The sequence below is a fragment of the Homo sapiens genome, chromosome 3, assembly GCF_000001405.40.
Source record: "Homo sapiens chromosome 3, GRCh38.p14 Primary Assembly".
Taxonomy (NCBI): Eukaryota; Metazoa; Chordata; class Mammalia; order Primates; family Hominidae; genus Homo; species Homo sapiens.
Window position 1 is genome coordinate 151,440,208 of NC_000003.12, and position 17,007 is coordinate 151,457,214.

The 17,007-nt window shown below is 40.7% G+C and overlaps 1 protein-coding gene across 15 annotated transcripts in view; it reads right to left on the minus strand.

Annotated features, from left to right (window-relative positions):
• The window catches only part of IGSF10 (immunoglobulin superfamily member 10), a 187,494-nt gene that overhangs the window by 7,776 nt on the left and 162,711 nt on the right, over positions 1-17,007 (minus strand). For 9 of the 15 annotated variants that reach the window (XM_011512709.3, NM_001385061.1, NM_001385060.1 and 6 more), the window contains 4 exons: positions 16,819-16,948; positions 13,177-13,567; positions 4,712-9,058; positions 2,777-3,677 (listed from right to left, as the gene is read on the minus strand). In XM_011512709.3, the coding sequence (XP_011511011.1) occupies positions 2,777-3,677; positions 4,712-9,058; positions 13,177-13,567; positions 16,819-16,948 (5,769 nt within the window). Of the gene's footprint in view, positions 1-367; positions 574-2,776; positions 3,678-4,711; positions 9,059-13,176; positions 13,568-16,818; positions 16,949-17,007 lie in introns of those variants that run through there. The other 6 variants (XM_047448015.1, XM_047448013.1, XM_047448014.1 and 3 more) reach the window with 4 other exon arrangements.

Here is a 17,007-nt window from a genome sequence, read left to right on the forward strand (position 1 = left end):
TTTGTAGAGACAGGGTCTCACTGTGTTGCCAAGGCTGGTCTCCAACTTCTGGGTTCCAGCGATCCTCCCGCCTTGGTCTCCCAAAGTGCTGGAATGACAGGCGTGAACCACCACACCCAGTCATCAAGTCACTGTTATTCTCCAGCAAAGGTAAGTATGGAAAGTATTATAGTAAAATATTAGAGAAAATTTTTTTTTCCCCAAGTATGGAAGGAAGTTCTCTGGCATATAAACCAAAGTAAAATCAATACAAATACACCTAAAGGAAGGGAAACTGCCAGGTGCTTTGCACTGGTTGTTTAATCTTGAAGTAATTCCCTCACTATACAGCTGAAAAATTGGTATTTAGAGAGATTTAGCAACTTGCCTTAGGTCACAGGGCTGGTTCTCAAGCCTTACGCTTTCCACCATGCTATACTGGCATTCTTTCCTAATGCTTTCTAAAAGTATTGGTTCTTAAACTTGGCTAAACATTAAAACACTTGTGGAGTTTAAAATAATAATGATGTCTGAGTCTCACCTCCAGAATTTGACTTAATATGTGTGCAGCATGGCTTGGGCATCAGGATTCTTAGAATTTTCCGGATTAAAGGTTTCCATGTGCAGCAAAGAACCACTGTTCTAACTGGGTTCTCAATGAAGATCCCTCATCAGCTGCATTAGAATTACATGGGTCGAGTTTAAGATGCATATTCCCCGGCTTTGGTTTCCTGAAATTCTGCTTCAATAGGTCTCGCCAAGGATGTAGAAACCCACTCTTTAAAAAACTTCCCAGCTAACATAAATAATTAAGTTTGAACACAAGTGTCAAATTTTAGCAACAAAATCACCTGGAGGGCTTTTAAGAACAGATTGCTTATTAAAACAAAATCAGAGCTCCTGATTCAACAAATTCCCAGACAATGCTAATGCTACTGGTAGGGGGTCTTCCCTTGGAGAAAAACTGGCTTAGAGTGATATCCCCTGCACCCAAGATCTGATGCAACTGGAGATTGTGACATATAACAGACAGAACTATTGATGTTTCTTTTTATAAACTAATATTTTTGAGAGAGATAATTTACTTTTGAAAATAGAAGGTTTCCCAGAGTGGAAGACAGAATTCTTAATAAAGATTAATGCAGAGGCATCTTCAGCCTCTCCAAAGCACAAAACTCACATTTCATAACTCAGCATTTAAAAATTCTAAATCTAAACAAATTTCAATTTAATTTAGGTGATTTTTGATGACATTTGAAAAACTTGAGAATTAACATTTACTTTTGAACTAAAGATCACAAGTTAAATTTATTAGCTGTATTCAGTATCAACTCGTGTCATTAGAAGAAAATCTTCAACTCCTAAGCATGAGTACAAATTCACATTTACTATGTGTAATTTTTTTGCATGGATGTTTTCTATTAATGAATAAACAGATATATAAGATGGAAATTCTCATCCTCATTTTTTGTCCTGTAATGGAAAACCATTGTGTAAAGTCATGCCACTTGCAAAAAAAAACCTCATAAGCTATAATTATTGATTTTTGAAGATATAATTTATATAGAAAGCCAGCTATAAAATGAATATTGAGGCCAGGCACGGTGGCTCATGCCTGTAATCCCAGCACTTTGGGAGGCTAAGGCGGGCAGATCACGAGGTCAGGAGATCAAGACCATCCTGGCTAACATGGTGAAACTCCGTCTCTACTAAAAATACAAAAAATTAGTCGGATGTGGTGGCGGGTGCCTGTGGTCCCAGCTACTCAGGAGGCTGAGGTAGGAGAATGGCGTGAACCTGGGAGGCGGAGCTTGCAGTGAGCAGAGATCCTGCCACTGCACTCCAGCCTGGGCGACAGTGCGAGACTCCGTCTCAAAAAATATATATATTCATATGCCTATAACAGACCAGAGAAAGTGTGTATTTGTATATATGTGTCTCATCACATCAGAATGCGGGGGCCCTGAATATGTTTCACTTGGTGGAGGTCTTAATATTGTGACTTTCACAAAGTGCTTTGTAATTTTAGGAAAGAAAAAATTAAGTACTGATTATAATGAAGTTTAAAATGTCGAATAGGGGACTCAGACGAGTAAAATAACGGAGTGTCTCTCTCTAGAATCTCCACTGCATCATAAAAATTCCCTTCTCTGTTTTGTTTACAGAGAGTGTGAATATATTTATACAATTACTATTTTTTTTTTTTTTTTTGAGACAAAGTCTCACTCTGTTGCCTAGGCTGGAGTGCAGTGGTGCAATCTCGGTTCACTGCAACCTCTGCCTTCCAGGTTCAAGCAATTCTCCTGCCTCAACCTCCCAAGCAGCTGGGATTACAGGCGCCCGGCCACCATGCCCGGCTAATTTTTTTTTTTTTGTACTTTTAGTAGAGATAGGGTTTCACCATGTTGGCCGAGCTGGTCCTGAACTCCTGACCTCAGGTGATCCATCTGTCTCGGCCTCCCAAAGTGCTAGGATTACAGGCGTGAGCCACCGTGCCTGTCCTACAGTTACTATTTTAAAACTGTGCCAAGTATGGAGATAAATGAGATTTTTTAATTCTGCCTAAAATATAAAAACCCTAAGAAGTTGACCCTTTGAGTTAAGCATGTGAAAAGAATGGTTTTTGTATTCAAATGATCTCAAAAGATTAGTTTTTTTTGAGAGAGTTTCCTTTATGTCCAAAGTCTATGTGTACTCTAAAACTGCTGCTAGCCTCACTGTGTCACTTTTTCCATTTCAGAAGTTGTACAGCTAAATACATAAAGCAGATAATTCCAACCCAAAGGTATAGACTTACCTATGCTGCTGGTCGACCACAGCCTTGGATGGTAACCTCCACATTATTTGGGGTTTGGGCTCCCCAGTGGCTGAGCAGTTCAGTAGTAATTTGTCCCCAAAATTCACTTCAGTCCTTTTCTGGGATGCAGCTTCTATCCTGGGGCTGGTCACTCGCTCTTCCATTGTAAGCATTACTACTCTTCGCTCCGAACCAGTGGAACTGGTAGCAATGCATTCATAAGTGCCCCTGTCTGAAGAGGCTAGGTTTCTTATATACAAAGTCCCATTTGAAAATAAGAACAACTTGGAATTGGTAAACTGTAATGGTTTCACTTCAGTGCCATCAGAGAGGACCCAGTAAACGCTGGGCTGAGGAGTTCCTTTTGCAGTACAGGGCAGTTTTAAACTTTCACCCCAAGTGCCTACAATGACTTGCCTCCTTTGCTCTAGAATAACAGGTGGTGCTGCAATGACTTGTATTTTAACCAGCAGTGAATCCTGGCCACCTGGGTTGCTGGCCACACATTTGTAAAAGCCACGGTCATAAATACTGAGATTGTGGAGGACCAATGTTCCGTCAACCGTCACCACAGCCTGCCTACTTCCCTGGGATGATTCTGAGACAACTGTTTGGTTTGCAAGAATCCAGGTAACTGTAGGGCTTGGCCTACCTTCTGCTCTGCACTTCAGTTCCACAGTGCTTCCGGAATGAACTGTGATCTCTTTGGTACGTCTCTCCAGGATCCTGGGAGGATAGGAAACCACAGACAAGGTGACATGAAGGTGGTCTGTGCCAAACAGATTGGATGCGGAACACAAGTACTGTCCGCGGTCCTGAATTTCCACCCTCTGGATGGACAGGGTACCATTGGGGAGAACCTGGACCCTGCTATTCTGTTTCCTCTTAGATAAATCAAGTCCTGAGAAGAAAAAAAGAAAATTATTGCTACGGGTCATCAAAGTTTATTTAGAAAACATAAAGCTATCGTTTTTTGGGCTACTAAGAATACATTTAAATTAAAATGAAAGCCCAGCCCTATGGCTCACTTGTATAATCCCAACACTTTGGGAGGCTGAGGTGGGAGAATCACTTAAGCCCAGGAGTTCAAGACCAGCCCTGGAAACATAGTGAGACCCTGTCTCTACAAACAAAAAATAAAATATTAGCTAGGTATGGTGGTGTGCACTTGTAGTCCCAGCTACTCAGGTGGTTCAGATAGGAGGATTGCTTGAGCCCCTGGAGACATGATTGTACCACTGCACTCCACCCTAGGTGACAGACCAAAAAAAAAAAATTAGGACATCTAGTCTTCAGATTGCTAAAATTATTCCTGGATTATTTTATTTAATTTTATTTTTATTGAGAGAGTTTCACTCTTGTTGCCCAGGCTGGAGTGCAATGGCACAATCTTGGCTCACTGCAACCTCCGCCTCCCAGGTTCGAGCAATTCTTCTGTCTCAGCCTCCCGAGTAGCTGGGACTACAGGTGCCCACCACCACACCCGGCTAATTTATGTATTTTTTTAGTAGAGTAGGGGTTTCACCATGTTGGCCAGGCTGATCCTGAACTCCTGACCTCAGGTAATCCACCCACCTTGGCCTCCCCAAAGTGCTGGGATTACAGACGTGAGCCACTGTGCTCAGCCTGGATTTTTTTATTCACATAATTTTACTTTAAAAGCCAGATGGTTCAACACAATAACCATTCTCTCTTTTTCAAATCATATTACTTTGAATCAGCTTTTGAGGCATTCCAAAAAATGTTCTTAGTTAACATATTTAATCCCTTCTGATGAGTGAAAATATGCCAGTGTCAAATGAGGATATTAATAGTTTCTTTGTCTTAGAAAAATTTGAAACTGATACTGATTCTTTGGATGTTTAATCCCAAAACATAACAATCTTCTTCTTGTTTTCTAACAAAAACTAAGTGTAAAGAAAAAGTTTCACATACCTGATGGGACTCTGGTCCAATGAATGGTGGGCAGGGGATTTCCAACAGCTTCACAGGGAAGAAAGGCATCTGAGTTAGCTGGAATAGTAAAACTTGCAGCTTTTCCTCCAACTATCCTGGGCTTTTCAAATATATACCTAGACAAAGAGTCAAAGGGAAGGAGTTTGGAAGTTGTTGCTTCTTGAACTGGTTTCTTATCAAAGTCACTCTTCTTTGTGTTCTTCTGTCCATCCCAATCTGAAACAAGAGTGGTGGCCTCGGACAGGCCTGTAGTAGCCAACATGCTTACTTCTGGCTTTTTGCCTTTTTCAGCAATTTCTGAGTATGGTTTGTGCCAAAATTGGTTTTCTGCCCAGGGAGATGGAGTTAATTTAGAATTCTGTGATTTAACTGTTGTTAGTGCTGGCATGGGAGTAGAATGTAACAGATTAGAGTAGATGAAGTGAGTGGTTCCAATTGTGAACTTGGCATTTGGGTGAACCTTGGGGGATGTTGCAACCTCTGCTACTAATTGCTGTGGTTTAGCATTGTGCCTTGAGGATTCGTGCAGCTTGACCACTGTATTTGTCATAAGCCCGGAAATGGGAGTCGCCACGTTGTCAGTAACTGCTCTCTGAGTAAAGGGAGGGGAGATGGGAACTGGCATTAGAGTAGCACTGCTGCTCAAGAATGGTGGTATGGTTGAGTGTCTAATGATTGCTTTCCTAGTTGTGGTACTCTGGTGTGATTTGCTGGACAAAGTTGTTTCAGAAGCAATTGTGCTCTTCAAAGTCTGAGTACTTGCTTGGGCTAGTTCTTCAATCACATCTGTCAGATTAAGAGTTCTTGAATGAAAACTGATTGTGCTTGAAATCCCAGTTGTGTTTTCTGGTGGGGAATGAGTGAATGCAGAGACACTGGGCTTGACTGAAGTTTCGGCTGTGGTTAGAACAGGAGGTGTCATAGCAGTGGGTGTAGTGAAGCCAGAACTCTGGTCTGGAGAGATGTTTGGGTCAGTCCTGTTCTTCTTTTGAGGCTCCTGTTCTCTTTGTATTGTTTGTGCTCTAGATCTCTCTGTTTGGGTTTCATAAGTGATGACAGATGCAGGGAAGGTAGGAGTTGTTGCTGGTATTGCTGTTTGCGTTGATATGATGCTTTTTGTACTTGAGTCTTTGCTTATAATACTAGGAAGCATAGGGTTAAGGGGTGGGAAGGGAAGCTCCTTCTTTGTTGGAAGACTTCCAGGATTGTGTGTTTTGGTCGTAGTGTGGTGAGCGGTAGTCAAGGTATTAGATGGAATTTGCATCACACTTGTTGAAAGTGTGGTGAAATGGAAAGGGGAGACTTTGTCTCTGGGTAAAGCAGGAGATGTTTTAGGAAGCATCACAGCTGTGCTTTTTTGTAAACTAACTTTATGTTGATTCCTTAATCTGCCTTTTGGGTTATGGTTATTTACAAAGTTCTGTTGCCAGGGAATTTTCCTTCTTGAAAACCTTGTAATGGCTATAATAGTCATTGGTGGCTTGGTGATAGCACCTGAAAGTGACGATGTAATCACTGAATCTCTTTTAGCTTCATTGGTGCTAGACACACGTGGGTAACTGGCGTTTACTTTGTGAGTTTTTTCCATGGGTATGGATGTTGGAGCATATGTCATGACTGCACCAGTTGGAGTCACTTGGGAAATTTCAGTCCTGAAATATTTTATTGTGGGTGTTGTTTTCTCTACACTGGGTTTGTTCTCAAGTAGTAATAGTGGATTCTGGACTAGAGTTGTAGACTCTTCTGATGGGACTCTAGCAATGTCAGCTTTGGGGAAGGTGATGGGAGCAGCACTTGGAAAAGACAATGCTGCTGTGGCAGTGGTGAGCCTCTCCCTGGGAAGACAGGACAGACATGTCACATTGAGCACTGTGGCTGAGAATGCAGTAGTGCTTTTTTCAGAAGAACCTCTGGTTGTTGACCTGAAAATGCTGTATCTATGCCGTCGCAGAACTGGAGTTCTATATGGGCTGATAATCCGCCCCCTTCCGCCAATTTTCCTCTGCCTCCCAAAGCGTCTGAACAGCGGGATGTTAACTGTACTATTTCTAGGGATCGGAAACTGAGAATGAGCAGCTGTGTGTGGATCTGAAGGGAACGTGGAGGTGCTAAGTATTTGAGTAGTGTGAGAATAGAAGTGATTGTGCCTGGGTTCACTCACTTCTCTTACAGATGTCTGATGACTATTTGTGGTATTTACTGACTCTAATAATAGTTTGTTGGTGGTGCTACTAAGCATTTTGACATTGACATCTTTGATCATAGTCCTTACTGTTATTGGGGGTCTACTTTGGAAATGCTCTCTTCCTCTTCCCATCTGGTCAGAGTCCTGAAATTCAGTTGCTCCAAGTAGCAGTGGAAAGACAGTGGATGAATGTTGATTGGTTGTGCCTTGTATTTGGCTTGACATGGTTGGGTTTATATTCTTTGACATGGCTGTAGTTTTAATAGCAGTAGACAGTTTGAAATCTGTGGGTTCTTCAGGTGGTAGTATTTGTGAATTCACAACAGGAGAGAATTCTGTGCCATAATTTATGTTTGTCATAGGACTATCAGATATTGTTCTGGAGTCAGCAGTCACTGTCCTTGCTGGAAGGTTCAAAGCTTTAGTGGCCGGGACCATAAATTCCTCATGTAGAGCGAGCATGCCTGAGGAATCGTCTTCTTCACCAGGTATGTTTGGGAGTTGGGTGACCACTGGGGGTGGGCTCACTGTGGTATTTTCTCGCTTGTCTGGCATAGCATTCTTTTTAGCTTTCTCCAACAGTGCCGCCCAATGTTGTGGGTCAATTCTCCTAGCAGAGGGAGGGAAATGCCTCCTATTCTCCCTAAAACGTCGATGTGTTGAATCTCCACGTCGCTGGAGTGTTAATTCCCGATAGTTGTGCCTCTTACTTGTGCTTGAGGTGTGTTTTCCAACCTCAGCCTCCATCAGAGCAGATGTACGGAGTTGTGCACCTGGTGGCTCCTTAAGATGAGCAATAGGATTGGACTCATCAAGTCCAGATCCCTCTGTTTCTCCATCATGCTCCAAGGGCCTTTGTCCTTTCATCTTGACTGAAACTTGGAAAATCAAAAAATCAACCCCTGATGGGTTGGCTGCCACACAGCGATAATAACCTTGGTCTTTCGGGGTGACCTGTAATATTCTTAATGTGCCATTGTTTAGAACTTTCTTGTCTCTTGATGACTGATAGAGCACATTGTTTCCTGGAATAACCCAGCTAATAGAGGCATCTGGGATACCAGTAGAATGGCATGGAAGATCAAGTGTTTCACCAATGAAAACTGTGTGATGAATCCCATTTTCCTGATAGGCTTCGACCAAAGGTTCTACCACAGTTATCCTATAGGTGAGAATATCTGCATCATCATAATTGCTGCTTATACAGTGATATACGCCTGTGTCAAAACTATCAGCCATCTGGAGTTCCAATTTTCCACTTTTGTCTATTAGGATCCGTCCATCCTCACTGACATAAGGGGCTCTCACTTTACTTCCATCAGCTAGAAGCCAATCCACGTGTGGGGTGGGGTCTCCTTGGCCTGGGCAGTTCAGGCCAACGGTTCCACCTACCAAGACAGTATGTTCCAGCTTAGTATTGTTATCCCTTGAAATCATAGTCCATTTGTGTTTCACTGGCCTCATCTCTGCTCTTGGTAAAGTGATTTGAGCATCACTGGAGTACTGGATCTGTAATGTACTGAATGTGGTGGCAGTTCTGTTCAGCTGCAAGGAAATTTGGTCTTGCATTAACCAAGAGGGATCTGCTCTGAGATCTGCCTCTATGTTGGTAAAAATGTCTTCAGGCTTAGGAGCCACCTGTTTATATTTGTAATAGAGCTGCGGTGTTTCACTAAGCAAGTGGCTCCTTTCTAGTATCAGAGGAGAATCACTGTACAAAGCCAAAATTTGCCACACTGGCTGAATGTGACCGTAATCTATGTTGCACACCAAAAATGTTGAAAATGAAGTATTTAGCACGATGTAGTCATTTTCTTCAGTGAATGCAATGGGTGATGTCCTTGAGGGCTTTTGAATACTGCAGACCATGTTAGCTTCATTTCCAGACTGATCTGTCATATTCAAAGTGAGGGAGCCAAAGGGTGCCATGAAACCTTGGGGAGAGATGAAAGCAGAACTACTGTCTTCCAGAATAGTCAGGCTCTTTGATTTCAGGGATGAGTCAATGGTTGGCTTGGCACACTGGAAAGCTGCAGCTGAGACCATAGCTAACGGCTTGCCTTTAGAAGTCCTAGGGTTCATGCAAAGTGGACACTGCTGAGCACTAGAGGGACTTCTATCTTTTTTGCATTTTATTACATCTGGAAAAAAATCACAATTGAATTATCAGTTGTGACCTCTTTATGAATTGACACAAACATTTTGAAGAAATAGCTTTTGCTAGAAGCTGAAACAATTTGGAAATTTTAGTGTTCAATGGAAAGTTTTCTGATTTTTTGCTTCTGAATTTGATTTTTTAAAAAGCTATGTCTGTATACCCTGCTACAACATAATATGCATAGACATAGGATTTTGTCTATCTTATTCACTGCAGTATTTCCCATGTTCAGCAAATGCCTGATATATATTTGGTACCCAGTAAATATTAGTTGAATAAGTCATTTTTTTAAATCTAGGGAAACAAAATGATATGCTCATGTTTGTCAGTTTTTATTAATAACAGTTTAGTTCTATTTCTTCATTTTAACATTTTAAGATGGCCACAGGACCTCACTGTTCTTTAAAAGATAAGCTGTTTATTAAAGGATTATTTATAATTCCTTGGGTATCATTAAAAAACCCAAGTTTATTTCCATTATCCAAAAGAATATTGACTGAATTACAGGGTACCTTGACCTGGTCTAGCTTAGTAGCAACAGGAATTAAGAGAAGCAGATGGATGCAGGAGACAATGAAGAAGGTAGAACCAATCAATAGGAGGTGAGGATTGACTGAATATGGACAGTGACTAAAAGGAAGGGTCAAGGAAGACTCCGTTTTATGACTTTGGAAACTGGATGGTTGATGGTTCCCTTGGATGAGGTAGATGCACTAGAGCAGGTTCAGGTTTAAGGGGGAGGGAAGAACATTTTGCCAAGGCAGTGGGGAGGCTCATTAAAGGTCTGACATTCTGGCGAAGTCAGAGGTTGCAAGTCTTACAGCACTAGGACCAGCATTATAAGGACCAGCATTTCTAAGTCATAGGTGCCTTGTCTTTCAAATATTTGGATATCACATACCATTTAAAAGCTCTGCTCTGGTGAGCCTATTTAAAATGGCTGGTCACTGGAATACTTGGTAAGAGGTATAGACTTTTCCCTTACACAAAATACAGCCTGAGACATCCATGCTGTTCCATATAGTAGCTCTTATATGATGCACTGGACATGGCACTTAACAAAAGCATTGTACTTCTTAGAAGATCTAATTTGTCAGAGTGGCTAGATAGGGTCAAATCTCCTTCCCATGTGTGCACATGTCCTCTCAAAGGCTTAAGAAACTCACTCTGACCAAGGACACCAAACTCTTCTGCGTGTACTACAGTGTGACAGGTAATGTCACAGATGCCTGACCAGTGGGCATTCTTCAGCAAATTTTATAGTCTAAACCTATGCAGAGGAGGTGGCTGGCAAGTTGGGAAACCTTTGAACAATCATAAGAGTTGCCTCCTGGCTGGCCGCAATCGCTCACGCCTGTAACCTCAGCACTTTGGGAGGCCGAGGTGGGCGGATCACCTGAGGTTGGAAGTTTGAGACCAGTCTGACCAACATGGAAAAACCCCGTCTCTACTAAAAATACAAAATTAGCCAGGCATGGTGGCACATGTCTATAATCCCAGCTGCTCGGGAGGCTGAGGTAGGAGAATCACTTAACCCGGGAGGCAGAGGTTGCAGTGAGCCAAGATCACACCATTGCACTCCAGCCTGGGCAACAAGAGCAAAACTCTGTCTCAAAAAAAAAAAAAAAAAAAAAAAGAGTTGCCTCCCCATCACCCACTTGCCAACAAGCTGTATTCCTTTACCTACTTATCAGTACCCTGGGCTAAGACAACATGGCAGACTTCTGGCTTAATGAAACCTCATCATAGACTATGCTCACACTGTGGCATGCTTATTATTGCTTGCACTGAGCCAGAGTTAGCAGGCCTTGGACATCAGGTATTTTGCCTCAAATGCAAACCTGACCATATCACCCCCATTCCCTCGGTTCCAGCCCCATGGAAATCCTTTCCATTCCTCAACCCTGCCATGCCCCATTGGCTCTGGCATACGCTGTTCCTTCTATGTCCCGCACACTTGGTGTCTTTCATCATGACCCAAGTACTTACCAATCATCCTTCAGAACCCAGTCTGAACAGCACTTCTTCTGGGTGGGCTCCCTGTTTTATAGTCTCTGGGTACCCTTCACTTCTTATATCCTACTTTTTCATTATTCACTATTAGAATGACTTGTTTACTTATCTGTCTTCCCATGAAACTATAAACTTCATTCTTGTTCATCTGTATGTCCCCAGCCCTGGCCAATGGATGCTCAGGAAAGATCAGCAGAAGGAAGAAAGGCAGACAGGCAGGCAAGAAAAAGTGCCTAATTCTGTGACCATGTTTTTTTGTTTGTTTTTTCACATTTCAACTTATAAATTAAGATGTGCCTTACAATTGAGGATGTTTTACAGTAACAACTGACAAATTGGCAATCAATATAGCTATCACAGCTTGTATACCTATAAAGACTGTCATAGCTATTGTCATTGCTTTCCATTGTATCACATGTATTGGTGCTATGACATATATTAAATTTGCCTTTAAAATGTTTCAATTAAGATTACACTATGATTTAGCATAAAAACAGGTTGTCAAGTATGTAAAAAAGAATGGAAACAGAGCAGCAGAACATAAATTTCATATTCATGAAATGAATGCTCATTAGAGAAACAGCCACAAATTCATTTTATAGAAATGCTGCATCAACATCTTTGCAGAATCAAAGAATAGAAGATACCCACAAGTAGATAAAGGAGTGTTACATTTAACTACTGAGATCAGTGCAAAAGGATTGCCTACCACATGCCAAGTGAGGCACCTGAAGCCATGAACAACTGTCGAATCTCTTGAAATCATGAAAATTTTTCAAAGCAGAAGAGGTTGATGTGACTGACCCATGGGTCTCGTAAAAATTATTAAGTCATCTCAGTCAAAAGGATAACACTTGATTATTAAGACTGAAAGATGTGAGCCCCTATGGGTTTAATTATTTTACACATATAGAGTTATGAATTAACAACAGGGACACATTCTGAAAAATGCATCATTAGGCAATTTTGTTGTGCAAACATTATGCAGTGTACTTACACAAACCTAGATAGTATAGCCTACTACACACCTAGGCTATATGGTAAAGCCTACTGCTCCTAGGCTACAGACCCATACAGTGTATTACTCTACTGAATACTGTAAGCAATTGTAATACAATTGTAATTATTTATGTATCTAAACTTAGAAAAGGTAACATATTGCACTACCACTTTATGATGGCTACAATGTCACTAGGCAATAGTTTTATTTCACCTCCATTGTAAATCTTATGGGAGGATCATTATATATGCCATCTGTTGTTGACTGAGATGTCAGTATGCAGTGTGTGATTATGTGTGTGCGCATATGTATATGTACATATGACAGATGTATAAATGCATATATGATGTGTTTTTATACATATATGTAAGTTTGGGACATATTGAAACCACAGTTAAAGATAAACTAGATGCAGGAAAGGCAAAAGACTTCTAATAGGAGTAGATATAACCAAATGTTATCCATTCAAGAATGGAAGTATAGGCAAACAACCCAAGTGGTGAAATGGTTATTCTGATGGAGATGGGGTGGGTGGAGAAGCAGCCAGACTTCTCAGAACGGCTGAGCAGTTTGCTGGCTGGCTGAGAACCATCAAGCAGAAAAGGAAAGGAAGGGCTCCAGGCAGGGGCAGCAGCAGGTACGAGGAGGTAAAACAGCTTGTGGTGTGGCAGGAAGTTGTCCAGAGTTGTTAAGAGCAAAAACTGCCTGTGTGCCTGGGATGGGCAGGGCTGAGGGTTGGAGAGGAGGGAAAGGAGGCTGAGGATAGGCCAGCACCACACTATGAGGACCTGGCTTGTAGCCTAAGGAGCATGAGATTTATTCTCTAAGCCAGAGATCAGCAACATTTTTATAAAGAGCCAGATAGTAAGGATTTTTAGGCTTTGTGAAACAGTTCTGTGACACTACTTGACTGCCACAGTTGCCAAAACACAGCCATAGATGATGTGTAAATAATTCATTATTCTTGAATTATTTCTGAGATGTTATTTTCTCTCCTAAATTACCCTGGGCTCTCCACTTCCTAATATAATACCTCCAAGCAGATTTCCTCCACTTAATTGGGACAAAAAAATAAACAATATAGATACCTGGCTTCTCCTGTATCCAGTCAGACAACCACTTTAAATGGCAATCACAGGTCCATGGGTTTCCATGCAGGTAAAGGCTGTCTAGGTCAGGCATATAGGAGACCATCTCTTGAGGGAGGGAGGTCAGGAAGTTATCAGACAAGTATAGGAACTTAATGAAAGAGATTTTAAATATCTGGAGGTAGCTCAAAGAGACAAATGTATCTGGGTGGAGCTTAGTGAGCTGATTTCCTTCCAAGTGCACCAGGCGGAGAAAGTTGAGCCCATAAAAAACCTCTGGGTTTATAAACTCAATATTGTTGTGGTCCATGTGCAATCGTGTCAAGCTCCTGAGGCCATAAAAAGTATCTTTCTGAAGTTTTCGGACTTTATTATAGCTCATTTTTAAGACCTATGAATTAAAAAAAAGAACATATTTATGTTGTCAAAGGAATTTTCACAAGAGGGAAAAGTCCTATCAATAACAAAACTTATGTTGAAATTAATTCAGTGCAATTTATATACCTTCTTAGGATCCCAATTCAATCAAATTCATTGCAAATTAAATATGACAATATCAGAAAAATTAGAACACTCATGAACATTTGCCTATTTATATTAAGGAATGAGATATATATATTTCTTTTTTTCTTTTTCTTTTTTTTTTTTTTTTGAGACAGCGTCTTGCTCTGTCGCCCAGGCTGGAGTGCAGTGTTGTGATCTCTGCTTACTGCAACCTCCGCCTCCTGGTTTGAAGCGATTCTCCTGCCTCAGCCTCCTGAGTAGCTGGGATTACAGGTGCCCACCACCATGCCCAGCTAATTTTTGTAGTTTTAGTAGAGATGGGGTTTCACCATGTTGGCAAGGTTGGTCTCAAACTCCTGACCTCAGGTGATCCGCCCACCTCAGCCTCCCAAAGTGCTGGGATTACAGGCACGAGCCATCATGCCCAGCCAGGAATGACTGTTAAAATTTAAGATATATGAATGATATTGTGGTTATTTTAAAAAGATTTCTTAATTTTGAGATATATAGAAGTACTTACAGATGAATATTATGAAAATTTGGATTTGTTTCAAAATAGTTGAATGGAGCGGAGAATAGTGGGTAGAGGTGCAGGTGAGACATCTGCTATGAGTCCATAACTATTGCAGCTGGGTAATGGTCCATTACAGTTCATTATATTCTTTCTACTTTTGTCCATGGTTGAAAATTTTTATAAGGTTTTTTTTTTAAGTCTTAGTATTTCAAGTAAATTTAAGATTTCTTAAACATAAATTTTTCATAAGAGAGACTATTGATTTTAATTTATTGAGTTATAGTTCACATGCCATAAAATCCACCTTTTAAAGTGTACAACTGGCTGGGCATGGTGGCTCCCAGCACTTTGGGAGGCTGAGGCGGGCAGATCACTTGAGGCCAGGAGTTTGAGACCAGCCTAGCCAACATGACGAAATCCTGTCTCTACTAAAAATACATATACACACACAAAATTAGCCGGGCATGGTGGCACACACACATACTCCCTAGCTACTCAGGAGGCTGAGGCATGAGAATCATTTGAACTTGGAAGGTGGAGGTTGTAGTGAGCTGAGATTGCACCACCGCACTCCAGCCTGGGTGACAGAGCAAGATTCTGTCTCAAAAAAATAATTTAAAAGTGTACAATTTATTGGTTTTTAGTATATTCATAGAGTTGTGCAACCATATCCACTGTTAGAAACTTCTAAATAAAGTTTCTTTTTTGCGTTTTGTTTTTTTTTTTGAGATGGAGTTTCACTCTTGTTGCCCAGGCTGGAGTGCAATGGAGTGATCTCGGCTCACTACAACCTCCATCTCCTGGGTCAAGTGATTATCCTGCCTCAGCCTCCTGAGTAACTGGGATTACAGGCATGTGCCACCACGCCTGGCTAATTTTTTGTATTATTTAGTAGAGATGGGGTTTCTCCATGTTGGTCAGGCTGGTCTTGAACTCCCAACCTCAGGTGATCTGCCCCCCCTTGGCCTCCCAAAGTTCTGGGGTTACAGGTGTGAGCCACTGCGCCCGGCCTAAAGTTTCTAATAAACTTTATTTTGCACCTTAAAATAAAAACTAATACCCATTAGCAGTCATTTTTTCCTATCCTCTTAGCCCTTCACAACCACTAATTTACTTTGTTTCCATGGATTTGCCTATTCTAAACATTTTATATAAATGGAATCATACACTTTATGGCATTGTGTCTGGCTTCTTTCACTTAGCAAAATGTTTTCAAGACCTGTCCCTCTCATAGCATGTATCAGCCCTTCATTCCTTTCTTTGCTGAATAGTATTCTACTGTATACATGCACAACGCTTTATCTATCATTGGTTGATGGACATTAAGAGGTGTCTTATACTTTTTGGTTATGAGTAATATGACTAATTTTGAGTTGCAATTAAAATAATTTTGAATATTTCAATAGTGCTCAGGTATTCTCCAATTCCCTCTCCAATTACCAGTTGAACATACTCTCTCCCATAAAGAAAAAAGAAATGCTAGTAAACACCATTTCTCATCATATTTTCCTGACTTGGCCTGAACTATCATCTCTGTCGAGAATGCTTCTCTAGAATGCCAAGACCCCTAATAAGAAAAGAAAATATAAGTTGGCAACATAGAAGAGCTTTGCCCCAAATGTAACCTGGGAGTTCAATCTCCAACTCAATGTTCCTCAACAGCCATTGAAAATTTGGTCGAGAGAATAAATATATGTAGAGAATTCTATAAAGGACATGCAATCCATCTATTCCTCCGAAGACATACATTCCAAATAGAGCCTGATTAACCAAATCAACAGAATCACATAGCTACATTATACTCTATTGCTCTCACCATGGTTATAACCTCCCTTACATAGCTCTGGTATATGTTAGAAGGCTCTATGAACACAGGTACTTCATCTTTTACAAGGATATTATTGACTTTATTTTATGGCACTGTATTTTATGAGGAGCTTTGTAAGACATTTCTTTCTGATTTAAAAATCATACATGGCTGTGCTTTTCCTGAACAGTTTAAGTTTTAATAGATGTCATGTATTGTTAGCGTCTTGAAAGCTTCAAGTCCTACTTATAGCAGACTTAAAGGTCTCTATGTATGCATTTCCTCATGTTCCCTTTATTCTTTTCTCTAGGCTTATTTTACCTTTTACTTTCTCACTTACTTTTGTGATCATTCTTGCATGATTTTATGCATTCTTGGGAGTCCTCTTAACTTTAAAAAATTGAACAATGTAGAACATGAATAAGTAAATAAAATGAAACTGAAAATAGTACATTGATTTATATAAAACTATTATCTGTCTAAGATAGTCATTACTTTTAGGAACCACATTCAATTCCCAGATAAACATGACTAGAAGTGTCCTTTTAGGATTAAATTTTGAAGGTTTATCGTCTCTGGGTATTGATTTTTTTTCTATTAGCTTGAGGTAGTAGAAAACTTGCCTCAGAGTTCTTATTATTCTAATTTATACACACAGTTCCACAGTTAAAAATCAGTTAACATTCTCCATTGACGTCTGCTTCTAATTTACAGAATGTTGATTTTCGTATTGTGTAGAGATAGGCAGCCTTTGAAGGTCTATCTCACAGGTCCCACCTTACCTCTTTAACCTGCCCCCTCTCTCCATCAGTCTCACCTGCAAGGCCTGCAAATCTGAGAAGGTCTTGTCAGGGATTGTGTGAATGCCATTGCTGTGAAGCATGAGTAACTCCAGTTTGGTCAGGCCAGAAAAATCTGTTTCCATCAATCTAACCAAGCTGTTGTATCTGAAATAAAAAATGACATTCTAGGCATAAGCTAAGTCTGTCAACTAAAGTTCAAATGT